Source organism: Homo sapiens, chromosome 6, assembly GCF_000001405.40.
Source record: "Homo sapiens chromosome 6, GRCh38.p14 Primary Assembly".
Lineage (NCBI taxonomy): Eukaryota > Metazoa > Chordata > Mammalia > Primates > Hominidae > Homo > Homo sapiens.
Window position 1 is genome coordinate 78,952,639 of NC_000006.12, and position 27,238 is coordinate 78,979,876.

Sequence of the window (27,238 nt, forward strand, 5' to 3'; positions counted from 1 at the left end):
TTAGATCTTTACACTTACTATCTCTTTAGTCTGTTTTTAAAACTGTCCAGTAAGTTTAATTTCAGTAATTATACATTTCATTTCCAGGATTCTATTTAGTTGATTTTAATATGTCTTCACTCTTTTCCTCTCAAATAACATATTTTTTCCCTATGTTTCTTATTCTTTCATTTATTCCTTTAACCAAAACTATCTATCAAAGTTTAACTCAACAGCATTTCTTTTTTCTTGGTGGTACATATAACAACAGTAATCTTACAAGGAATGTCATCTCTCTTTTTTTTAATGAAGTACAGTACTTCAGAATAATCTATTACTCAAATTTTCAGGGAGAGGGTACTAATATTTTCATTTGTTGTTTCTGTTATCTTATTATGGTAGATCACTCCCTTATATAGGTGTTGTTTTTTTTTTAAATCATTAGTTCATTCAGTTAAGGATTAACATTTTTTCCATAATGGATTTCTACACAAGGGTGGTGCAAATTTGGATTCTAAGTCCATGTATAGTGTAAGTTTAGGAAAATTTCTCCTCTCTGACACTAGAACCACTGGGGGAAACATTCTTTGTTGTGAAAGGAATTATTCAATTCTTCTTTTCATTCAGGGTACAGTTCTTCAATATTTCTGGTTTAGGGTTGGGTTTCAGCTCCAAATTCCTTTTTCACCACTGCCCAAGGACTCAATTATCTCTGTATAGTGTTAATACTTGTGCCTCTAGAATAAAAACATTGTCTTATTTCTATCTCTTCTTTTCTGTGCAAAGCCCAGAATACAAACGCTTAAAACAATGAATAAACTGCAACTTATTTTTCAAAAGAATACATAGCTGAGCTTGCAAGAACCAAAGCGAAATCCATAAGTTGTGAAAACACAGAGAGAAATGAAAGCCAGAACATTATAGCATCAGCTCAGTCCCAGGTTTTTTGAAAGGTGAGGTTCTAATTAGCTCAATTTATCACGCCGCTGGAATTAAAGATTTCTCTTCCACATTTAACATTCTATGTTTCTGGCATTTTAAATGACATGAAAAAAGTCATTTTCTGATATTTATCTGTTGATGAAATTTCTTTATTTTCATCATTGTAAGTTAGAACAAAAATTAGCCCGGCTAATTTTTGTACTTTTAGTAGAGACGGGATTTTACCATGTTGGTCAGGCTGGTCTTGAACTCCTGGCCTCAGGTGATCCGCCTGCCTTGGCTTCCCAAAGTGCTGGGATTACAGGTGTAAGACACCACGCCCGACCCCTGAACTATATAACATTTAATTACTTTTTAAAGGGATGAGAAATCACTCTACATTAAATTTAGATTGCTATGATTGCACGCCAAAATAAATACTTAAATCATGTTTACTTAGCTCTTTTTACCATGTATTCCATAAAGATTACACATTGGCATAACCTAAATATATACAATAATGTCACCTTACATTTGTACACAGTGCTTCACATTTAAAACTATTTTTTGTTTGCTTTTGAGACTCAGTCTCTTGCTCTGTCGCCCAGGCTGGAGTACGGCAGTGGGATCTCGGCTCACTGCAAGCTCCACCTCCCGGGTTCACGCCATTCTCCTGCCTCAGCCTCCCAAGTAGCTGGGACTACAGGCACCCGCCCACACGCCTGGCTAATTTTTTTTTTTGTATTTTAAGTAGAGACGGGATTTCACCGTGTTAGCCAGGATGGTCTCGATCTCCTGACCTCGTGATCTGCCTGCCTCGGCCTCCCAAAGTGCTGGGATTACTGGCATGAGCCACCGTGCCCAGCCTAAAAACTATTTTTATATATTCTCTTTACATCTCCATAATCCTGTAAGGACGTAGGCATTATTCTTTTTTTCTAGATAATTGCCATAATAAATTCATGGAATCAGTGTAGGGAAGACAAAAAAAGAAAAAAAAAATTCAGATGAGAAAACTAAGGGACTTGCTCAAAGCTGCACAACTAGTAGGAACAGAATAACCCAATTCTTACAGTGTCTTCATTCAGGGCTCCTTCCATTTTACCACACTATTCAAAATTTGGATTCTCTATGTAGCCAAATGGATAATGAGAACATGTATAAAATAATAAAGAAATAAACTATAATCATAAAAAGTAACTAAAATAGCCAACTGTCATGTAAAAGGTATGTAGCAAACTGACAGGTAAAGAAAATATTTTCAAAAATACTTACTGGATATTCAAGGAGATCTACCGGCTGACGGAAAGGCTCTGAATCTTCACATTGAAATATGAGATTTAACAATTCTTCACACTGTTTCTTCCATGCTTGAATATCGTAAGACTGGGCTCTATTACGTAATCTTCTTCTAGGCTGATGGTCCTGTGATAAAAGTGTTCAAATATATTAATAAAAGAGCACTTACACAATAAAATTTGTACTTTTAATGTAGTCTTAGATAATTGGGTAATATACAATAATTCAAACAAAAGAAAATATTCACCAAGTTCTAAAAAACATACATTTTGTAATTGAAACTAATTTGAAATACTTAATGTCTTTTAAAATGCTAAGAGTAAAAAAATAAAGAAAGCTCTTAATACATTTTAATTCATATAAAGTACTTCTGCTAAAACTAAAACTATATTACCTTCCTTTTTCGAGTAGAAGTTCCTGGCACATCAGCATCTTTCTCTTCATCCTTTGAGGCAAGAATTTACCAGATTCATAAAACATTTTAGATGTCATTATACTTTATAGTTGATTAACTAGCAATTATTTCCTTTACACACTGGAACACCTGTAATGTATATGCTGGGGCACTTTATTGACTCATTAAAAAGGTTCCCCCCATTAAAAAATTTTTTTTAACTATAAGAAGAATATTCTACTGCCAGTTGTTTTTTTTTTTTAAATTAACTACACTAGACAAAAAATAATGTTCACAACAGCTTTTACCTGAAAACTACAATATGTAAATTTTTTTATATAGAGAATATCAATATGGTAATAATAATGAAATATTACATACCTCAGAATCAGACAAAACTTTCTTCTTCATTGAATTATAAAGTGGAATTATGTTATAACAAGTCTGATCCCTACATAACAAGGAAATGTTAACATGTAAGATTAGAACCATGATAATTTTTTTCCTTAAAAATTTGTTCGTAAAACCATATTTTAAGGTAAAAGTTGAAGCTGAAGGCTTGCTTTCTTCTCCATTGGCTTACTCCAATAATTTATGCACACACATTTAACCCTGACCCCTCCACTCTATGTAGAGCTTTCAGTGTGGCCTCACTATATCATTACACCAAACCCAAGTCTCATCTCCCAGTCTTTGCTTAGGTATCTGCTGTGCTTCTTCCATTCCTCAGTCTTCAAACAGCTAATACATTTCTTGTCTTCCAACTCTTTCTTTTATTTTTAAATGTATTTCCTAAAATTTTGTTCTTAACGCATCTTGACACTGTACCTTTTGCTTCACATACTTGTGGTTTATCTGTGTAAATGAATTCCAAAATTCCTGCAATTTGTCCTAACCCTTCTCCTGAGCATTCTACCAACACCTAAAATTCCACGTCTAAACTTAATAGTGACTCCCCAGATATCCTTGTTCCTTTTTCTATTTTTCTTTAACAACATATCATTCTTACAGTAATGGGAATCTTGGTTTTTCATTATTCTTTCCCTTTCCTCCTCCTTATAAACCCAATTAGTGGTCAAGGGCTGTGAACTCTATCCTCAAGTATGTCTGGGCATCTGTCCCTTTCTCACTTTCATAAATTAAGCCCTCATCAACTCTTAGTTGGTCAACTGTAGCAGTCAATCTGCTATTTATGCTTTTTGTCTCTTCTCTGTCAATTAAATTAGACACTGCAGTCAAATTAACATTTTTAAGGCATAGTGTAAAACATGTTATTCTCATGTTAATATACTTTCAACAGCCCCTTGCTCTCAGAGCTTATATTTTAGATTCATATTCAAAGCCACCCACGATGTGGCCCCAACTCAGATTTATAGCACTGTATCTCTACTGTGACTTCTCCAATTTATATTACCCTTAATTAAAACTTCCTACCTCACGCTGCTCCTTATCCCTGGAATGGCTTTCTTTTCATCTAACATTTCCAGAATCTATCAGTATCTACACCTTGTATACAATGTCTTAACAGACTTCTCCTCCCCTGTATCTGAATCCCCATCATCACAGCTAAAAGTAATCCTATTCTTATCTAAACTTTTATACAATTCTCTTACTACTTGTCACAGTTTTCCTTATATTATACTTTCTTACAGATTTATCTATCCTATGAAACTGTATTAAAAGGATCCATCACATTACTTTGTATGTATCAATTGCTTGAAATTTTGCCAAATAACTCAATTAAAAAGTATAATAATCAAAATTTCAAGGAATACTTAATATCTTGAAGACTATCTGCTAAAAAAAGTATTTTTAAACAAACTATACACATCTAAAAAAATGCCATGGATTTATTTTTAGAAATATACAATACAAATGCTTTAAGTATTTCATGAATCTGACTTCAAAGACATTTCAAAGTAGCCGTTTGAAAGAAATACATTTCACAGACTTTCAAATGTATTAACAATTTTCATCTAAATTATTTCACTGAAATATGAATATACTATCTCATGTAGTTCTACTGATTCTCTTTGAAAAAACAGATACACATACACATAGTTATAACACTTATAAAAAATTACAGACATAAGAGTCTTCAGAGGATAATGCTTAATTACTAATTTCAATAAGGAAAACAAAAGCATAGCAATAATAGCCCCCAAACCATTGGAAAGCAATAGATTTCTTAGAGAATAAGGTAGAGAAAGGGCACAAACTTTACCTTATTAATTATGTTTGGTGTTTTCTTATACTGAAATGACCTGCATTCCTCAGTTAAAACACATTAATCAAAAAGGAGCTCAAAGATTATGTCCATTAATGAGAATGAAGCAGGGATGTTTATTAAAAAAAAAAAAAAAACTGAATAATCCTGAATTTTTCATTATGTAAAAATGAAAGCTGATAACAGCTAAGTAAGCTTTTAAAATGCTGTTACTACTTCTCAACCAGGAAAAAAAAATTCAATACAAATAATGACATGGAATCACAGCAGTCTTTGTACAAAATATAGAATTCATTTCTCTGCCTTCAACTTAGGAGGCTCAATTCATTATATGATTGCATAAAATCCTTAAGATAAGGAAGGGAAAGTACTTCTGCCTTAATAAATAGTGCTTATCACTCTTGTTATGGGATCAATGAGGAAGTAAACTTGACTTTGAAGAAGAATCATGAAAGTTAAATTCAGTCTCCTGCTGGACTATTTAAATACTTGTTAATATACTTGACAGGGGCAATATACTGTTAGGATGAAAAATTCTCAAATCAGATGGCAGACACTCATTTACCGTGCAACCTTATACATGTTAACCACTATAGGCCACAGTTTCCTCAATTCAAAATTCCAGATAATTATCTCTTCCACCTGTAAGATTGTTATTTGGGTTAGAAGAGTTAATGTAGGTAAAACATTACATGTTAAATAAATTTTTACTATTATTATTGTCTAACAGTTAGATTGAGAAAATAATCTTTTTTTAAACAATTTTAACCTTAAAACACAATGGTAATACGATTTTTATGATTTCATTCTTATTATTAGCCAATGAACTGTTTCTTCTGAAACCCAGGATCAAACCAGAGACCTTTAGATCTTCAGTCTAATGCTCTCCCAGCTGAGCTATTTTGGCTACTCTTAAATGTTTCTTCTTTACAAACAGTATGTTTTCTATTTTAAGAGGAACTGTAGTGCCATTAATTATTAAAACTATCATAATTACATATGAAAAGATAACTTACTTTATAAAATGTAGAAGAAGATCAGTCACGAATTTAGCAGATTTCACAATAGGGCTTCCAGGCTCATTAAATGTTCGTGTATTATGCTCTATATATCGAACTTCCCACATTAGGGAAGAAACCCGCCTTAAAAAAACAAAATATAGAAGTTTTAACTTCCTTATATTTAGAAATATGTGTACATCATTTAAAACCAAGACATTCCAACTTTTCAACTTCAGTCTAAACCAACTGTAAAAACCATTGGTCTTATAAAGTCATTTTCAAAGCAGCATAACTGCATTTGTGTTAGGGGAAAAAAAGAGGGGCAACCATAACTACGTATTTGCATACAAGATGTCTGGAATGGAACACACCATATTAACAAAGGCCTCTTTTTGGGAGGGAGAACGTCTATATGGGGAGTGGCAGGAGAGTAGAAAGGGGAGAGTTTTAAGTTTTGGCTTTATGTATTTTTGTCATGTGTGCTGTCATTTTTTGGTAATAAAGAACCCTCACTTCTGAACAAAAAGGAAACAAGTAATTTTAATCTAATTATCTTACTGGTAATCAAATGACATATACAAATGAGAAGTTAACTGACAGCCACCTTATGAGATACAAAATCATAAAAATATAGCATGCTAGTTTACCAAGAAACCTAACTAAATGAGAATTATTTTCTGAACACTTAATTGACAATGCTAAAATAAAATCTGGAGTTTTACAATTTTATTTCTGAAAGTAAATAAAAATCCAAGGACAACTTTTGAGAATATTATCTAATATGTGGCCTGACTTAAAATAATAAAGAAAACACTTAGAAAATCTTACTGATTGTGAACAGAAATACAATCATATGGAATAACACTGTATCTAATTGTGGACATAGAAACATAAAGAAAAACTGTGCATTTCAAATAGATTCACAAGGCTCATTCTGATAACAGAATCACAGATATCTTCAGTGTATCATATAGAAAACTGTGTGTAAAATAAAGTATTAGATTAATACCAGCAGGGCAAACTGACAGTAATAGTTTAACAAGAGATTGAACTAGAAGTTTCACGAAAGAAAAACAAACTGTAAGAAGTCTAACACCAATGAGTGAAGGAAGAAGCAAAAACCTACTTACATTGTATTGAATGTAATACATTGAAGTCATCATTGTATTGAATAAGAACATAACTTAGGTTTATAACAGAGTTTATTATCAGGTTGGAAAACAGGCAATTTCTAATTCATGTAAGTATTGTCTTTCAAATGTTTTTTTCCTAAATTGGCTACAAAACTAGGGTAATGCCAAAAGCCTATTTAAAATATAATGTATCTTGAAATACAGATGTTCCTCAACTAACGATGGTGTTACATCCTGATAAACCCACTGTAAATTCAAAATACCATTAAGTCAAAAATGCATGCGATATACTTAACCTAGCAAATATTTTACCTCAGCCAAGCCTACCTCAAATGTGCTCAGAACACTGACATTAGCCTATGGTTGGGCAACATCATATGGCAATCAACTGTACAATACACTGTACAGTATTGGTTTAACCTCATGATCACGTGGCTGACTGGGAGCTACTGGGAGCTGTAGCTCACTGACATCGCTCAGCATCATGAAAGAGTACATCACAAGCCCAGAAAAAGATGAAAATTCAAAATTTGAAGTATGGTTTCTACTGAATTCATATCCCTTTCATATCACTGTAAAGCTGAAAAATCTAAGTCAAACCATTGTAAGTCAAACCTTATGTATAGTATACTTTAGCAATTATCATGTTGAGCAATATGTGAGATATTTACAACAATATTGGAAGACATCAGCAGCTTATATTTCTAGTTGCAGTCCAACAATTAGTGTATGTATACAAATAGTTCTTTCCTTCTCATCCACCCATGTCTTGTTTCATCTCTGAAGCACTAGGTTTAATTTCCAATCTTTAGCAATTTAAGGGGTCAAGGGAGAAAGAGGAATATAGTTAGGAATTCCTTTTTTTTTTTTTTTTCTCTTAAACTTCCAACACCTGATATTGAAAAAGACTTGAAGAATGCTTTGAGGGTGGGATGGTTGGGAACCACATAGCAGGGAGGACTTCTCCTTATCTCTACGCTTTTTGACAAATATCAAGGAAGCAACAGCAAGTACACCTAAGAAGATCAGAAAAATCTTTAGAAACTAAAGTCTAATATATTAGTTTTCTTTATTCCAGTGGTTCTCAATCAAGGACAATTATGCTCCCCAGAAGACATGTGACAATGTCTGAACACATTTTTGGTTTTCACAACTAGGGGGCTGCTACTGGCATCTAGTGGGTACAGGCACAGGATAGCCCCTCACAATGAGATACAGAAATAAAATTTAAGTCATAAAAAGAACCAAAGGCACATTTTATATAGAAAAATATTAATACAAAATATGAATAAAGCTTCTCTATGTTAAAAAGAAGAATAACGGAAAGGACTTCAGTAATAAATAACTGGTCACAAAAACTTTTAATGCAATGTTACACAAATTAAATTGTTGGACTGCTAAGCAAAGGTCATATGATAAAAATTAAAACTAAAAACAGGATTCCATTATTTAAAAACTATAAACATATTTTTTGACAAAACATTTTAGGTAATAATAAAGCCTACTGACGATTAAAGACATTCATCAAAATTACCTAGATAATGCAAATTAATTGAAATTATGCCTGGGCCATTTAACTCTAATTCTTTTTCATGCTAAACTACAACTATGAAAAACTGAGTATTTTCAAATTTCAGTGTTATAAGTAATGATAAGCTGAATACAGGCAAAATAAGAACAAAATACATAATACGAATACAAAATTTTTATTATATATTATATTAAAAATCAATGAACAAATATTTTAATGTTATCTAGGAGAAAATGAAATACCTTGCCTTGCTTTATAAAATACAATATAAAGACAGTGAATATCAAATCATGTCAGCCTCTAGGAAAAACTGTATCTAGGATCTAGGAATTGTATTTTAAGTGTCTAAAGACCAGCAGCATCGACATTACTGGGACTTGTTAGAAATGCAGAATCTCAGGTCCCACTCCAAATCTACTGAATAAGATTCTACATTTTAACATAATCCCCATAATCTTATGTGCATTCCTATATACAAAAAGTTGAGAAACACTGCTAAAGATCAGTAAATGGGTGGAAAGATCACCAGCTTTCCTTTGATAGTAGCTACATCAAATGGTTCTAACCTGTAAAACCTGTTTTCCAGTCTTTGTTTAATTGTACTTAGATCCGTTGGATATGCCACTACTGTGCAATACATGGGATAGGCTTGCAGATCCACGGGGGCCACAAATGCTGAGGCAATATCTAAAATAAATAGATAAGTTTGTAAATTTATTTTTGTATGCCTAAAATAATTCAAGAAGAATTCTGCTTGAATTAAGACTTAAAAAGTCCTAATCTACATAATCATTAGTCTGCCACTGTCTTTTCATAAACAATATAGTGTAGCTGACATAAAGAGTCTCACTTTTTATTATGTCTACATTTACACTGCCAAATTCTAGGGGTATTGTTTTATTCATAGGTTCACCGGGAGAAAGAAACAAATTATATATACATATATCAGACCTAATAAGTACACATACATTGCCGTAATTGACAGTTGGCCATTCCTGAATCTATATTTGGCAAAGCCATTCTATTATTAACACTGTAACATACTGCATTCAAATCTAACCTTTGACTTTCTCAAACGTATCCCTTTATCTCAACTTTACATTATTCTGTGAAATATTAGACAAGTAGAGAAAAGGAAACAGACCCAGAAGTTTTGATTCAGTGATACTGACCCAATACACACCGTAAAGTTGTACAGCAAAAACTATAACTAGTTAAGATCACTCCCAATTTTTTGCTCATTCGCATATAATACTTAATATCCTAAAATATTGCTAAAATTATTTAAGGTAGTATTTATAAGGCTATTCCTATAAAGTGTTGGCATTTTATAAAATACTTCAGATTTGAATATTCCTCAATCTCCGTGTCCATCCAGCTCTTCTTACTCATGTTAATTTCTCTCTAGACTCTTTGCAGCTGATTCTTTATTGAGAGAGTGGGTTGCTACAAACCACCACATAATCTAGTTACTTCAGAAGCCCAGAATTTAGATAATCAAGTTTTGTGGTCACTGTTTTCTTTTAACAAGGCAGAGCAATTAATATACCCTCTCCTCTCCCCTTAAGAAGATCCTCTTTTGTGTGTGTATATTAAGTTGGGGGAGACCAGTACAAGCTACCCATATAATTATAACTCAGCTTTCAATCCTCCTCCTCCAATTCATATCATGTCAGCCTGAATATGTCAAGTGTTTTAAATTGGGTTGTGGAGGACCCAGTTTTTTCAGAGATGCCTCTGGCACTTCTAGGAGGCCCTTATTCTAAAATTCAGCTAACATAACCTAATTTATAACTGTTTTAAATAGTTAAGTCCTGTGTTAAGACCACATTCAAAAAGAGATTCCACTTAAAATGTCTGAAACCACTGACTTAGGATATTGTGAAAAAAAATTTTTGTTGGAGAATAACAGTATTTTTCCATTACTTTGTGTTCTGCCAGTTTTTTCTATACTCGCGTGTTGCTTTACTTACCTAGTGTCATCAACTGGTTTATTCCTGCCACAATTCTTTCACATTCTTCATCCCTGGGATTGGTACCCCATTCTCCATCAAGAGGTTTATAGATTAGTGATCTGCACTCACCATCAGTTAAAGGAACACTGGTACCTAGTTCTTCAGGAAATACAGCTGAAATAGAAAAGCAGATCATTGCAAATACATGGTAACTTATTAGTATTCAGGTTAGCTTTAGAATGTAAAAATAACAGTCACAAAATTAAAGTATATTTTGTATAGATTTGTAAATATACTCTTTATTTTAACAAAGGAAAGTATGTTTTAAGGGTCACTAAAATTTAAATTAATTTTTAAATGATACTATAAGTAATTCTCTAAATAATTACTTCTCCAAAATTATACCTGAAAATCTGCTCTGTAATCAAGTACATGTGCAGAAATCATTTCTATAAAATATGCAAATTTCAAAGTTTTCTGAATCACTTCATAATTGCCATGTTTACTTTGATAAAGTATACACAAGGTAAAACTGAACTAAAGTGACATTTTCTAGAAATACTTCAATCAAAGCTTCAATTTTTGAATGTAGGAACAGAGAGAATTATGAAAACTGACAAATGATGCTTATGCTTATTACTCATAAATTATGAAGGTATGCTTTCTGCATGCTTGAATCTTTAACAGTTTTAGCTGAGAGAATCACTAGAGGGTTGCGGTAACCCAAAATCTAGAAACGTGCTAGGTAATTTTTCCTTTAGACTAAGTTTTGGCAGATACACTCTAGAAAATACGCCACTGTTTGTGTACAATCAAAATTCTCATCACAAACTACGATTAAACTCTATAGGTTCGTATGAATGTGTATCCAAATAGAACAACAACAGTAACCACCCTTCAATATATTTAGGTAGGAAACAAAACAGTGAATCAGTATCACTTATTCATTTAAAAAATATCCAAGGCATTATAACACCAACTGGCTGCATTGCTATCATATTCACAACAGTTCAATGTGAGTTCAAATTCAAACTTTCTTTTTAATAAATGAGAGAAACAAAACAAAAACATAAGCCATGTAACATGGTTACCAATTGATTTAAGATATTTTATAATTTTAAACAGCTCTAATTTAGCAGTGAGATAAAAAAAAATATATTATTGGCATTAAATTTTCAAAGTGATAATTCCTGCAGAGAACTAATCTTAGCTAATCAGTATGACAATTTTCTCATTTCTGAGGTCTACGAGACTGGGTTATTTTCTCCAACAGTTATTTTTTCTCTGACTTTGGATTACAATAACTACTGAGCAACTCAATTAATAAAAGATTATTTCTACTATGTTAGAAATTAGATGTTTTCCTTTTTGTTTTTTAAAGATCTTATTTATTTTTATCTGCTAAGAGATGTAATATATTATTATTATTTTTGAGATGGAGTCTCGCTCTGTTGCCCAGGCTGGAGCGCAGTGGTGCAATCTCGGCTCACTGCCACCTCCGCCTCCCAGGTTCAAGTAATTTTCCTGCCTCAACCTTCTGAGTAGCTGGGACTACAGGCACACGCCACCACGCCAGGCTAATTTTTGTATTTTTAGTTGAGACGGGGTTTCACCATGTTGGTCAGGCTGCTCTCCAACACCTGACCTCGTGATCCACCTGCCTCAGCCTCTCAAAGTGCTGGGATTACAGGTGTGAGCCACCACTCCTGCCCTGTAATATATTATTTTTTAAAAATCAAACAATATAGAATAACGTAAAAGAATTTATGAAGTCTTTATAATGCTACTCTATAAATAATCATTATTAAAATCTCGACAATATCCTTCTAATCCCTTTTTGGCTTATGCAATTGTGCATGTGTGTTGTATTTTTTACAAACAAACAAAAATGGGCAATGAAGTGGAAAGAAAATATAATCTCCAGGCTTTGGTCCCAACGTCCTTTTCTCAGTGCAAGGAAGATGTCATACTCACTGCCTAAGGCTAATTATTAAATCCTGAATGTGTCAGGCCATATGCATAATGACAGTTATATTATCATTATTAATTACAACTATATCTTCATTGAGCTCTTATATGTGTCAGGCTCTACAATAAGCACTTTACACACATGATGCTATTTAATCTTCAAAGTAGCCCTATAAGGAAGGTATTAGCTTTGACGGTTTCTAAGGCCGAGTACTAAAAAGTTGGGGTGTGAGGCTTTATGGAACTTGCCAAGATCACATAAAAAATGACAAGTCAGGATATGAACTGATGTCCGTCTCACTCAAAAGCATGACCTCTTAACTATTATGTTACACTTTAAACACTCTGCTAAAGTTACAAAAGTGTCTCTGCCTCCCAAATGCACACTTTCTTGGGTGAATAGTAATTAATAAAACAATTTCATGTTTTGCTGTAATAAATTAATTTCAATCAATTCCAAGTAGGCAAGAGTTATATCTATCTTCTTCACTGCTGAATCTCCCCTACTTCAAGGTGTACAATAATAAATATTTGCCAAATGAATGTTTTCTATTTGATACTCACAACTGTAAGTGGTAGCATGTTAGCAAATCTTAAATAATTTCTTAAGAAATTAACTCCATAATGGAGAAACAAAAAGCCTAACACACACTTACCATTATTAGGTATAAGCTCCATATCCCAAGGACTCATCTTTTCTGTATCTCCATTGTCCCAGCTTAAAGAAAGAAAAATCATTATATTAAAAAATCTAAATTATTGTATCACAATTTTAATAAAATCAATTATCAAAATAATTGCTTCTGTGTTTAAAAGAAGTCTCTTTATCTCTTAATAGATGGAAAAAAAAATTCAAAGCAAGCCTAGGTGAACTAAAATACAACAAATATTTCCTTACCAAACATTGTAGCATTGAAACAGACTATCAGGGTACTCAAGTTGAAGAGGTTCCTGGCTTTCGATTGTTCCAAACCACCAGGCATCATCTATGACAGACCTGAAGCGGTCACCTGGCCAAGAACAAAAACTAACTCATCATTCTGAAATGCATGGCTGCTGTCACTGCTTTTTCCTAACGTTAACCTTTAAGTACCTAAACTGCCTGTATGATTTCAGAAGACAAAAAGTGAACCACAAACTCCAAAAATAAGTAAGTACAATCAGCAATACCAAGAGAAAAAAGGAATTTAGTAAGCATACTTGAAGTGTGACTTAACAGTTTTCAATTCTATTTTTTATATTTCATTAAGGTATACAGAAATTCACTTGTTTTAGGCATTTTTACCAATCTAGCATTTGAAATTCATCATTAACACTATACCCAAACTTTTCACTGAAATAAAATTATAATTGCGGCAAGTTCCACTCAACAATTACTTAGTCTTTTAATTTCTTACTTTCTGTAAGCAAGTTTCCCCAACCAACAATCAATCAAGACTCCACGCTAAAAACAACAAACAACATAAAATCCAACCTGTCTTCCTTCATCTCAATCACCCTTAATACTCACTCACTCTCCCTTTCCTGTAAAAGGAAACAAAAAAGAAACAAAAATAAAACAACTATTCTTTTTAAAACAGAGGACACTCCTTGTGTCTATTTCCTTATCCAATTGCTGTCGTCGTATTACTTAACCTGCTTTTTCCCAAAGACCTGAACAAGCTATAAATGCTATGGCTTTTTCTTATCTAAATATTCTCATGTTCCTTCTGTGTCATAAGAAAACTGTAAGTCACTTACTTCCTTTATGCAATGTTTTCCTGTTCCTCAGCTATCACAGTACTTGAGTTTTCTCGTGGCTAGCATAGGCTAGAGCCTGAAAGACTTGGGTTCAAATAACGTATCTGTATAACTTTGAATATATTAATTATTTTTGAACTTCATTTTCCTTGTCTATAAAATAGAAATGGTGATGTCTACCTCCTGGTAGTTTTTGACTAATGAGTTCTATTAAAGCACTCCACATTTTGACACACAGTTAAGTTAAAATGAATTAAGTTAGCAATTAATCTGAATCAGTTTTATTTTTAAACTCAAAGAGAAAAGTAGTTATGTTCTCATTTTCTTACCAAAAAGGATTTAAAAGTTTATAAAAACATATAGCATGAAATGAATTAAAAATTAGAAAAACAAGGTAAAAGAATATGATAAAAAAGAAAATTGGAGCCAGGAGAAAAGTTAATAGAACACAACTGCATGCTGTTGACAGTTGTTCCTCAGATGCATACTAGTGACACTTAACAAAAAGCTACTATATAGTTTAATAAGAAGCATTCTTGACACCACCACTACCTCACACTAAACATAAAGTTTCAAAGAGCTGTATCTTATGACCCTACACAGACTGATTATTATGCTAAAGAGGAAGGACTGAGTAATGTGTGCCTAATCATAACGAACAATATCTGTAGAATAACAAGAAAGTTAAGCAAAGAACCTGGACTACTACTGAAGTCCACCATTGAGAGTAAGCCTTAATACATTTCCGAGGAGGGGCTGAAGTAAAAATTACTAATGTAATTTTAAATGGCAGTCGGTGGGTGAATGCATATATCCTCAGATATAAAAGATTAATTAGATACTAACTTTAGAGAAATATTAACCCATAAATTAGAATAAAATTGTAAGATCCAAATGAGAAAATTATGATGCTCATTCATTTTAATTCTCTGTGATTTGTCCAATGTTAGCCACATTACTTTGCCAAGGTTATGAGCTCACTTCTGGAATATTGCTGCACTTTGATCTCTATTATTTGTTCCGCAATTTATTGGCAAATGCAACTCCTTAAAAAATAAAATTTATCGGCCGGGCGCGGTGGCTCATGCCTGTAATCCTAGCACTTTGGGAGGCTGAGGCGGGCGGATCACAAGGTCAGGAGATCAAGACCATCCTGGCTAACGCGGTGAAACCCTGTCTCTACTAAAAATACAAAAAAAAAATTAGCCAGGCGTGGTGGCAGGAGCCTGTAGTCCCAGCTAATCGGGAGGCTGAGGTAGAATGGTGTGAACCTGGGAGGTGGAACTTGCAGTGAGCCAAGATCACGGCACTGCACTCCAGCCTGGGTGACAGAGCGAGACTCCATCTCAAAAATAAAATAAAATACAATTTATCATATCAAGTAATGTATGTGAAAAATTTAAACAATCAGATGTACCAAAGGCTGATAGCCAAAACCAAGAAAAATGTTTTCATCTATTTTACCTACTACTTCTTGACTTACAGATTTCTTCACTCATCAATTTTTGACAGTAAGTATCAGAGTTGATTCTTGAAGACATGGGTTTTAACTGACCAGGTCTACTTATACACAGATTTTTCCAATAAACAGATTTGGCCCTCTGTATTGGCAGATTCTGCATCAGCAACCAAATGCAGATTGAAAATACAGTATTAGTGGGATGTGAAATCCATGAATATGGAAGGGCCAACTTTTCACATCGGGGGGTTCCGTAGGATCAATTCTGGAACCTATGTATGCAAAGATTTTGGTATCCATGGAGGTCCTGGAAGTAATTCCCTGTGGATACTAAGGGACAACTATAACTTCAATACAACTGTGCATAAAAAGTATGTGTATTATATTTAATCCATATTCAATTTTTAATCATGACTGTGTAAATACTGCTTGCTCCTAAGCAAAACAGCATATAATTCCTTCCTTATATAATTTTGTTTTCCCTAAAATTAATAATTGCTTCATTTTTTTAATGCTTGGTTTTCAGTGAATTTACAATTAAATCTTCCCACAATCTCTAACAGCTCAAGCTGTAAAAAACATTCTTCAATGTAATTTTCCACAAAGACAAACTTGTTAGATAAGTTATGTGTTCCAATTTTTTCCCCCTGAAGACTTTCCTCTTGAAGGAGATTTGGACCTGCTAGGTAGCTGCTATCCTGAGGCTTCTACTGAATATTATTTGGGATTCCTTTTAACTTTTCCTGTTCTGGACTTCCTGTTTCCTGAGGGGATTCCATTCTTTTCCCTTTCTTGGTTACTCCCTTATTTGATGAAACACATCTTTCAAAACTTCTAGGGAAATGGAACATGAGATGTAAATTTTCTTTCTAACTTCCATGTCCATAATTTTGATAGCTTCCAAATTTTCCTAATTTCTCCTTACAGAGCACATACAAGTTTTTAACAAAGGACAAACCACCATGTCAATGCGTTCTAGTGGCACTGAAGGACAGACTGGTATATCAATTGATGTGCTTTTTCAAACCATACATACCGTGTACACATCATACCATGACACACACTGGTCCTATATGAAATTTTTAAGAGAACTACTCTCATAAGTGGCACATCATCTATATGTAAATTAATGCACCTTAAGTGCCTGAAAACTTTTACAGATTTTAGTTTCTTTGAGACTTGTTTATGATACTAATTTTAAAGATTATAATAGGATTAACCAATAAAAGAAAAATGTCAGTTTAGCTTTAGTCCCAGTACAAACTTATACATCTTGTTAAGCTTCTTTTGGCTTCAAATTTAAATTGTTATTAATATTTTTATACAAAAATTTAACTTAACATGTAAAACATGAAAATAAAGTCAAATGTAACAGAAAAAATGTTTTAAATTTCAACATCGACTGTTTTCATTCCTAAACAAAACTTAACAATACCTCTGACATAGTATCTTACTTTGCTATTAACATTCCTACAAATAGCAAAAAGATTTCTCTGATAATCTTTTTCTCAATTATGAAAAATAGTAAATCACTTACTAAGAAAAAAAAACCACATCAAACATCGATAGCTTCTAAATAAATTACCCACCTATATTCCATCGCCTGTATTTTGCATCATCAAATTGTTGTCTCAAGACTAGGAAATCTATAACGTCAGGCATATCATGGTATCTAATTACAAACAGAAACAAATTGATTAGGTCACATACCTAAAAATACCTAAAAGATGTTCAAATGTATCTGAATCTTGAAAAACAATCTACAATACTAAGAAAACCATTGCCTCTTTCAACAGTCCTTACTTCATGGTAAATGATCCGCCAGTCAGTTTACCAGTATCAGGATCTAGAAAAGCAAGTTTAAGGCAGCAAAGGGTAGGTAATCCCACTTCATACTTTATGCCAACTATTTTCATAAGTTCTTGTTCCTGAGAGAGACAGAGAATATAAGGAACCATCTTTACAAAATAAACCACAAAATAGACTGCTAAACATTGTTGAGAAAAAACTTCTTGGTTTAAATCTTGATCTGGATGGTGATGACTGTGTACATGTAAAAATTCACTGAGCTCTGTATTAAGATTTGTGCACTTTATAGTATGCAAGTTACAATGAAATTTTTAAAACGTAAAAAAGGAAAAAAAAATAAGGAGAACTTTACTAAAGTATAGTTACTAAAGTAAGTTTTCTATCACCATTCCAAAGACCTATTGGTAACTGAACTACTGATGACAAATCTAGAAATACGCATCAAATTTACGAATACAAAGCTTACTTTAGACTTATTACCTAATTTTCACTATAACTAAATTTTGTACCCAACCCATAAACTGCATTGGAGTATATAAATTCAGTCAAATCTTGTGTTTCTCTGGATGAAAATTAAACACCTCCTACTCTCTAGGACTGCTTCAATTAAACAAGGTATCTTCATGATGCAGTTTCTTATTGTGTTAATAGTAACCTTTGATACAATTTTCTCCAAATTCCATAATTGTATTTTTGGGGCTATTAAATAATAAATCAATGTCATACCCGTAGCTCCATTTTATGCCATGGTTGTTTTTTGGGATTGATACTATATATTTTATTTTTCCGGGCCATTTCGACATAGGCTTCATGTCCTTGTCGGAAATAATAAACCTAAAAAATAAAGTCATAATCTTACAACCTGGATGTGTTTCCTTTAATCCAATATACAGGGTATCAGCTGAAATTGCAAAGAGAAAATCTAATGCCTTTTCAGCTAATAGAAATTCTAATATTTTCTCCCTCCTCCTTTCTCTCAAGTTGTCTTAACATCACTAAATCATAACCAAAGTGTTCTAAATAACATTACTTTGAATACACACTTATAAGTTAAGATGAAAAGTTATTTTCTGGTTTCACCATTTTATTCTTAAAATCAAAATAAGTTAATCTATGTTGCATAATAACGTTGACTAATAAGTTTATTGTCCACTTTTGTTGTTAACTTTTTTAGCAAGTAGTTTGTACATATGCAGAAAACATTGAAATGAAAAATGTACTTTCACATATATTTTAATCCTTACACAAATCCTGGTAAGACAGCAGGGCATACATTTATCCACATTTCATGAAGATCAAATTTAAGTGACTCCTGACTACTGTCTTGGAGAACTAGTACTTGAACACAGCAGTCTGACACCCACTAGTAGAAGAACGTGTTTTAAAATGCTAAGTTTTTAGTAACATTTTGGGATAGCCACTATCCCATACTTTCATTCTATTCATTAATACCATTATTGCGGGGAGGGGCCAAGATGGCCGAATAGGAACAGCTCCGGTCTACAGCTCCCAGCCTGAACGATGCAGAAGACGGGTGATTTCTGCATTTCCATCTGAGGTAACGGGTTCATCTCACTAGGGAGTGCCAGACAGTGGGCGCAGGTCAGTGGGTGCGCGCACCGTGTGCGAGCCGAAGTAGGGTGAGGCATTGCCTCACTCAGGAAGCACAGGGAGTCAGGGAGTTCCCTTTCCTAATCAAAGAAAGGGGTGACGGACGGCACCTGGAAAATCGGGTCACTCCCACCCGAATACTGCGCTTTTCCAATGGGCTTAAAAAACGGCGCACCACGAAATTATATCCCGCACCTGGCTCGGAGGGTCCTACCCCACGGAGTCTCGCTGATTGCTAGCACAGCAGTCTGAGGTCAAACTGCAAGGCGGCAGCGAGGCTGGGGGAGGGGCGCCCACCATTGCCCAGGCTTGCTTAGGTAAACAAAGCAGCCGGGAAGCTCGAACTGGGTGGAGCCCACCACAGCTCAAGGAGGCCTGCCTGCCTCTGTAGGCTCCACCTCTGGGGGCAGGGCACAGACAAACAAAAAGACAGCAGTAACCTCTGCAGACTTAAATGTCCCTGTCTGACAGCTTTGAAGAGAGCAGTGGTTCTCCCAGTACGCAGCTGGAGATATGAGAACGGGCAGACTGCCTCCTCAAGTGGGTCCCTGACCCCTGACCCCTGAGCAGCCTAACTGGGAGGCACCCTCCAGCAGGGGCACACTGACACCTCACACTGCAGGGTACTCCAACAGACCTGCAGCTGAGGGTCCTGTCTGTTAGAAGGAAAACTAACAAACAGAAAGGACATCCACATCAAAAACCCATCTGTACATCACCATCATCAAAGACAAAAAGTAGATAAAACCACAAAGATGGGGAAAAAACAGAACAGAAAAACTGGAAACTCTAAAAATCAGAGCACCTCTCCTCCTCCAAAGGAACACAGCTCCTCACCAGCAATGGAACAAAGCTGGACGCAGAATGACTTTGATGAGCTGAGAGAAGAAGGCTTCAGACGATCAAATTACTCTGAGCTACAGGAGGACATTCAAACCAAAGGCAAAGAAGTTGAAAACTTTGAAAAAAATTTAGAAGAATGTGTAACTAGAATAATCAATACAGAGAAGTGCTTAAAGGAGCTGATAGAGCTGAAAACCAAGGCTCGAGAACTATGTGAAGAATGCAGAAGCCTCAGGAGCCGATGCGATGAACTGGAAGAAAGGGTATCAGCAATGGAAGATGAAATGAATGAAATGAAGCGAGAAGGGAAGTTTAGAGAAAAAAACAATAAAAAGAAATGAGCAAAGCCTCCAAGAAATATAGGACTATGTGAAAAGACCAAATCTACGTCTGATTGGTGTACCTGAAAGTGATGGGGAGAATGGAACCAAGTTGGAAAACACTGCAGGATATTATCCACGAGAATTTCCCCAATCTAGCAAGGCAGGCCAACGTTGAGATTCAGGAAATACAGAGAACGCCATAAAGATACTCCTCGAGAAGAGCAACTCCAAGACACATAATTGTCAGATTCACCAAAGTTGAAATGAAGGAAAAAATGTTAAGGGCAGCCAGAGAGAAAGGTCGGGTTACGCTCAAAGGGAAGCCCATTAGACTAACAGCGGATCTCTCAGCAGAAACTCTACAAGCCAGAAGAGAGTGGGGGCCAATATTCAACATTCTTAAAGAAAAGAATTTTCAACCCAGAATTTCATATCCAGCCAAAGTAAGCTTCATAAGTGAAGGAGAAATAAAATACTTTACAGACAAGCAAATGCTGAGAGATTTTGTCACCACCAGGCCTGCCCTACAAGAGCTCCTGAAGGAAGCGCTAAACATGGAAAGGAAAAACCGGTACCAGCCGCTGCAAAATCATGCCAAAATGTAAAGACCATCGAGACTAGGAAGAAACTGCATCAACTAATGAGCAAAATAACCAGCTAACATCATAATGACAGGATCAAATTCACACATAACACTATTAACTTTAAATGTCAATGGACTAAATTCTCCAATTAAAAGACACAGACTGGCAAATTGGATAAACAGTCAAGACCCATCAGTGTGCTGTATTCAGGAAACCCATCTCACCTGCAGAGACACACATAGGCTCAAAATAAAAGGATGGAGGAAGATGTACCAAGCAAATGGAAAACAAAAAAAGACAGGGGTTGCAATCCTAGTCTGATAAAACAGACTTTAAACCAACAAAGATCAAAAGAGACAAAGAAGGCCATTACATAATGGTAAAGGGGTCAATTCAACAAGAAGAGCTAACTATCCTAAATATATATGCACCCAATACAGGAGCACCCAGATTCATAAAGCAAGTCTTGAGTGACCTACAAAGAGACTTAGACTCCCACACATTAATAATGGGAGACTTTAACACCCCACTGTCAACATTAGACAGATCAACGAGACAGAAAGTTAACAAGGATACCCAGGAATTGAACTCAGCTCTGCACCAAGCAGACCTAATAGACTTCTGCAGAACTCTCCACCTCAAATCAACAGAATATACATTTTTTTCAGCACCACACCACACCTATTCCAAAATTGACCACATACTTGGAAGTAAAGCTCTCCTCAGCAAATGTAAAAGAACAGAAATTATAACAAACTATCTCTCAGACCACAGAGCAATCAAACTAGAATTCAGGATTAAGAATCTCACTCAAAACCGCTCAACTACATGGAAACTGAACAACCTGCTCCTGAATGACTACTGGGTACATAATGAAATGAAGGCAGAAATAAAGATGTTCTTTGAAACCAACGAGAACAAAGACACAACATACCAGAATCTCTGGGACGCATTCAAAGCAGTGTGTAGAGGGAAATTTATAGCACTAAATGCCCACAAGAGTAAGCAGGAAAGATCCAAAATTGACACCCTAACATCACAATTAAAAGAACTAGAAAAGCAAGAGCAAACACATTCAAAAGCTAGCAGAAGGCAAGAAATAACTAAGATCAGAGCAGAACTGAAGGAAATAGAGACACAAAAAACCCTTCAAAAAATTAATGAATCCAGGAGCTGGTTTTTTGAAAGATCAACAAAATCGATAGACCGCCAGCAAGACTAATAAAAGAAAAAAAGAAGAATCAAATAGATGCAATAAAAAATGATAAAGGGGATATCACCACCGATCCCACAGAAATACAAACTACCATCAGAGAATACTACAAACACTTCTACGCAAATAAACTAGAAAATCTAGAAGAAATGGATAAATTCCTTGACACATACACTCTCCCAAGACTAAACCAGGAAGAAGTTGAATCTCTGAATAGACCAATAACAAGATCTGAAATTGTGGCAATAATCAACAGCTTACCAACCAAAAAGAGTCCAGGATCAGATGGATTCACAGCCGAATTCTACCAGAGGTACAAGGAGGAACTGGTACCATTCCTTCTGAAACTATTCCAATCAATAGAAAAAGAGGGAATCCCCCCTAACTCATTTTATGAGGCCAGCATCATTCTGATACCAAAGCTGGGCAGAGACACAACCAAAAAAGATAATTTTAGACCAATATCCTTGATGAACATTGATGCAAAAATCCTCAATAAAATACTGGCAAACCGAATCCAGCAGCACATCAAAAAGCTTATCCACCATGAACAAGTGGGCTTCATCCCTGGGATGCAAGGCTGGTTCAATATACGCAAATCAATAAATGTAATCCAGCATATAAACAGAGCCAAAGACAAAAACCACATGATTATCTCAATAGATGCAGAAAAGGCCTTTGACAAAAATCAACAACCTTTCATGCTAAAAACTCTCAATAAATTAGGTATTGATGGGACATATTTCAAAATAATCAGAGCTATCTATGACAAACCCACAGCCAATATCATACTGAATGGGCAAAAACTGGAAGCATTCCCTTTGAAAACTGGCACAAGACAGGGATGCTCTCTCTCACCACTCCTATTCAACATAGTGATGGAAGTTCTGGCCAGGGCAATTAGGCAGGAGAAGGAAAGAAAGGGTATTCAATTAGGAAAAGAGGAAGTCAAATTGTCCCTGTTTGCAGATGACATGATTGTGTATCTAGAAAACCCCACTGTCTCAGCCCAAAATCTCCTTAAGCTGATAAGCAACTTCAGCAAAGTCTCAGGATACAAAATCAATGTGCAAAAATCACAAGCATTCCTATACACCAACAACGGACAAACAGAGAGCCAAATCATGAGTGAACTCCCATTCACAATTGCTTCAAAGAGAATAAAATACCTAGGAATCCAACTTACAAGGGATGTGAAGGACCTCTTCAAGGAGAACTACAAACCACTGCTCAAGGAAATAAAAGAGGATACAAACAAATGGAAGAACATTCCATGCTCATGGGTAGGAAGAATCAATATTGTGAAAATGGCCATACTGCCCAAGGTAATTTACAGATTCAATGCCATCCCCATCAAGCTACCAATGCCTTTCTTCACAGAATTGGAAAAAACTACTTTAAAGTTCATATGGAACCAAAAAAGGGCCCGCATTGCCAAGTCAATCCTAAGCCAAAAGAACAAAGCTGGAGGCATCACACTACCTGACTTCAAACTATACTACAAGGCTACAGTAACCAAAACAGCATGGTACTGGGACCAAAACAGAGATATAGATCAATGGAACAGAACAGAGCCCTCAGAAATAACGCCGCATATCTACAACTATCTGATCTTTGACAAACCTGAGAAAAACAAGCAATGGGAAAAGGATTCCCTATTTAATAAATGGTGCTGGGAAAACTGGCTAGCCATATGTAGAAAGCTGAAACTGGATCCCTTCCTTACACCTTATACAAAAATCAATTCAAGATGGATTAAAGACTTAAACGTTAGACCTAAAACCATAAAAACCCTAGAAGAAAACCTAGGCATTACCATTCAGGACATAGGCATGGGCAAGGACTTCATGTCTAAAACAACAAAAGCAATGGCAACCAAAGCCAAAATTGACAAATGGGATCTAATTAAACTAAAGAGCTTCTGCACAGCAAAAGAAACTACCATCAGAGTGAACAGGCAACCTACAAAATGGGAGAAAATTTTCGCAATCTACTCATCTGACAAAGGGCTAATATCCAGAATCTACAATGAACTCAAACAAATTTACAAGAAAAAAACAAACAACCACATCAAAAAGTGGGCGAAGGACATGAACAGACACTTCTCAAAAGAAGACATTTATGCAGCCAAAAAACACATGAAAAAATGCTCACCATCACTGCCCATCAGAGAAATGCAAATCAAAACCACAATGAGATACCATCTCACACCAGTTAGAATGGCAATCATTAAAAAGTCAGGAAACAACAGGTGCTGGAGAGGATGTGGAGAAATAGGAACACTTTTACACTGTTGGTGGGACTGTAAACTAATTCAACCATTGTGGAAGTCAGTGTGGCGATTCCTCAGGGATCTAGAACTAGAAATACCATTTGACCCAGCCATCCCATTACTGGGTATATACCCAAAGGACTATAAATCATGCTGCTATAAAGACACATGCACACGTATGTTTATTGTGGCATTATTCACAATAGCAAAGACTTGGAACCAACCCAAATGTCCAACAATGATAGACTGGATTAAGAAAATGTGGCACATATACACCATGGAATACTATGCAGCTATAAAAAATGATGAGTTCATGTCCTTTGTAGGGACATGGATGAAATTGGAAACCATCATTCTCAGTAAACTATTGCAAGAACAAAAAACCAAACACCGCATATTCTCACTCATAGGTGGGAATTGAACAATGAGATCACATGGACACAGGAAGGGGAACATCACACTCTGGGGACTGTTGTGGGGTGGGGGACGGGGGAGGGATAGCATTGGGAGATATACCTAATGCTAGATGACGAGTTAGTGGGTGCAGCACACCAGCATGGCACATGTATACGTATGTAACTAACCTGCACAATGTACACATGTACCCTAAAACTTAAATTAAAAAAATACCATTATTGCTCCAGTTGTCTGGAACTTTAAATGATGGAATAGTGCTGAATAATGAAGACCTTCAAGCACCAGCAGCTAAAAAGACAACCTAACCATTTTGAAAGGAAATCATTCAACAAGGAATTACAAACTTTTCTGGCCATGTTGAAATAATGTATTAAATATAATTTCACATCTTAATGCTACAGGATGTTAAGATCTATCACTGTACTATATCACAACAATGTGGTAATGTTCTGTGCTCTTCAAGTCGTATGAGGCAAGTAGGATTTTTAAATAAATTCTTTCAGACTGTTCTTTAGAATCACTCTAGCATTAAAAAGTTTTTGTTTTCTTTTTTTTCTTAAAGTGTCAATTACCACTTTATACTGTAAATTAGTGTGCTTTGCTAAAGAAGCCTCTATTTTAATTCCCAATTTATTTATGGTCAATCTGTTGGACACCAGATAACACTGCCTCTTAAAATTTGTGTACAAAACAAGGAGACATTAACCTTGAGTAAAAAATGTTGAGACCAGTTCTTACATTTTCATTCTAAATTCACAAGTACATATTCTAAAACAATGGTCTCATCCTCAGTTTCTTAAAAATTAAATAGTATTTCTTATTCTAAGATTATAGATTTTTTAAAGATCTAATGAACTGTGAACACTGTGGGTAAACAAAACACTAACACTTTTTGAAATAAAATTAAATGAAAACAAATTGCTAAATTTCATTTTTCCTTTAACATGTTATACATTAAGCCTTAAGATAAATGAATATATTTTAATTTAAAAAGAAAAAGAAAGCTGGCAATAAAAACCTCTTACTAAAACATACATTTCTTTTTAAAACACTAACAAAATTTTCATTCTTATAATATTCAGATTTACAGCAGCTTCAAAGAAGATTATTAGACTTTCACTCCTAATTGTACTTTCTCCATACATAGATACAAATATCTAGAATGAGATACTTTACAAAACTGCTTCTATTTTCCAGAAGTCTATTTCAAGAGCTGTTAAAAAATGTTTAAAACTATGTGAGGAAAAATGGATAATTTAAAACTTTTAAAGTACCTCATCACCCATCTGTGGCACAAATGGACATCTTCGGGGAATGGTATCTGTAATCCATGTTGATGGCAACCATTCTTCTAATGTCAAACCATTTTCAGTTAGTTCTCCCACAGCCAATCTCTGACAAAATTTAAGTAATAATTGTTAAGTAATAATCAAAAAAGCATTAATCCACAAATCTACTCTTTAAAATAACTATAAAGATAATTAAATAAAAGGGGAAGGGCACCATTGTACAATATTATATACAGTTGGCCCTGTGTATCCATGGGTTCCACATCCATGCATTCAACCAACCTTGACTGAAAATATTTGGAAAAAAAATTCCACAAAGTTCCAACAGGCAAAACTTGAATTTGCTACATTCTGAATACTATGTTGAATCCACACAAATAAAATGATGTGTAGGCACTGTAGTAGGTATTATAAATAATCTAGAAATGACTTAAAGTATATAGGAGACTGTGTGTAGGTCACATGCAAATACTATATGCCATTTTTTATAAGAGACTTGAACATCCCTGGATTTTGTTATCTGCAGGGGTCTTGGGACCAATCCTCCGTGTCTACTGAGAGATGACTATCCTTTAAGCAACAAAACACTTATTCTAGAAAAAATGGCAGCAGTGGCAACAGAGTTATTCAATCTCTCCAAATCACTGTCTACAAAGAGAACTAACTAGAAGCAAAACCCAAAAATCCATAGCCAACACTCACAACAAGGTAACAAGATATCCCCACAAACCCCAAAGTACAAGCTCTGTGTATTCTCCTTTCCTTTCAAAATGCTATCAATTTTATAAACATTCCATATAACAAACCAAGACAGCCTAGAGTTTTTTTTTAATCCTAGTTATAGTAAGTTACAACTAAATAAGGTATTCTCATAGGAGTTGAGTAGTGCAACATGTAGAAAGCTAATTATTTCCATAAGCTGGACATTACACTTCTACACAGCATGAGAAACTATGCCTCTGAGAAAGTTCCTTAACTTTGCTGGTCACCCACAAGTGGCCACAATGGTCTTGATGTTGTTACCTTAGACTCAGGAAAAAAATGAACTTTCTAAGAACATTTGAAACCTAATATTTTTACAAGTAAAAAAAGTTATGCAATTGATTAAAGTCTTTTGTGAATCACACGTAAAACATTAAAAATGATTGTACACTAAGACTGCTACATTTTACTTGTTTTTTTAAAAACAAGGTAGTGTAATTATCAGTATAAAATAATACTTGTTTACTAAAAGAAGCAATGCCATAACATGATATCAGAGAACACTACT

The 27,238-nt window shown here is 34.7% G+C and overlaps 2 protein-coding genes and 1 pseudogene across 5 annotated transcripts in view, besides 2 other annotated features; 1 reads left to right on the forward strand and 2 right to left on the reverse strand.

The window, feature by feature from the left end:
• The window catches only part of IRAK1BP1 (interleukin 1 receptor associated kinase 1 binding protein 1), a 111,861-nt gene extending 85,088 nt beyond the window's left edge, over positions 1 to 26,773 (forward strand). The window contains exon 4 of the mRNA XM_047418194.1: positions 26,495 to 26,773. The gene's annotated coding sequence lies outside the window, so the exon portion shown is untranslated. The remainder of the gene's footprint in view (positions 1 to 26,494) is intronic.
• The window catches only part of PHIP (PHIP subunit of CUL4-Ring ligase complex), a 143,836-nt gene that overhangs the window by 18,220 nt on the left and 98,378 nt on the right, over positions 1 to 27,238 (reverse strand). For 3 of the 4 annotated variants that reach the window (XM_005248729.6, NM_017934.7, XM_011535918.4), the window contains 12 exons: positions 25,954 to 26,073; positions 18,143 to 18,250; positions 17,411 to 17,535; positions 17,197 to 17,279; positions 13,307 to 13,418; positions 13,065 to 13,126; positions 10,459 to 10,614; positions 9,052 to 9,172; positions 5,837 to 5,962; positions 2,975 to 3,044; positions 2,594 to 2,644; positions 2,176 to 2,325 (listed from right to left, as the gene is read on the reverse strand). In XM_005248729.6, coding sequence (XP_005248786.1) covers positions 2,176 to 2,325; positions 2,594 to 2,644; positions 2,975 to 3,044; positions 5,837 to 5,962; positions 9,052 to 9,172; positions 10,459 to 10,614; positions 13,065 to 13,126; positions 13,307 to 13,418; positions 17,197 to 17,279; positions 17,411 to 17,535; positions 18,143 to 18,250; positions 25,954 to 26,073 — 1,284 coding nt within the window. Of the gene's footprint in view, positions 1 to 2,175; positions 2,326 to 2,593; positions 2,645 to 2,974; positions 3,045 to 5,836; positions 5,963 to 9,051; positions 9,173 to 10,458; positions 10,615 to 13,064; positions 13,127 to 13,306; positions 13,419 to 17,196; positions 17,280 to 17,410; positions 17,536 to 18,142; positions 18,251 to 25,953; positions 26,074 to 27,238 lie in introns of those variants that run through there. The other variant, XM_011535919.2, reaches the window with a different exon arrangement.
• Positions 5,655 to 5,727, reverse strand: TRF-GAA8-1 (tRNA-Phe (anticodon GAA) 8-1; annotated as a pseudogene).
• Positions 18,576 to 19,125: an enhancer, noted in NCBI's record as "NANOG-H3K27ac-H3K4me1 hESC enhancer chr6:79680931-79681480 (GRCh37/hg19 assembly coordinates)". NCBI's record gives its function as "activates a minimal SCP1, AML or CMV promoter by ChIP-STARR-seq in naive H9 embryonic stem cells {active_cell/tissue: H9 hESC(naive)}" and the evidence as "EXISTENCE:reporter gene assay evidence [ECO:0000049][PMID:30033119]".
• Positions 19,126 to 19,673: an enhancer, noted in NCBI's record as "NANOG-H3K27ac-H3K4me1 hESC enhancer chr6:79681481-79682028 (GRCh37/hg19 assembly coordinates)". NCBI's record gives its function as "activates a minimal SCP1, AML or CMV promoter by ChIP-STARR-seq in naive H9 embryonic stem cells {active_cell/tissue: H9 hESC(naive)}" and the evidence as "EXISTENCE:reporter gene assay evidence [ECO:0000049][PMID:30033119]".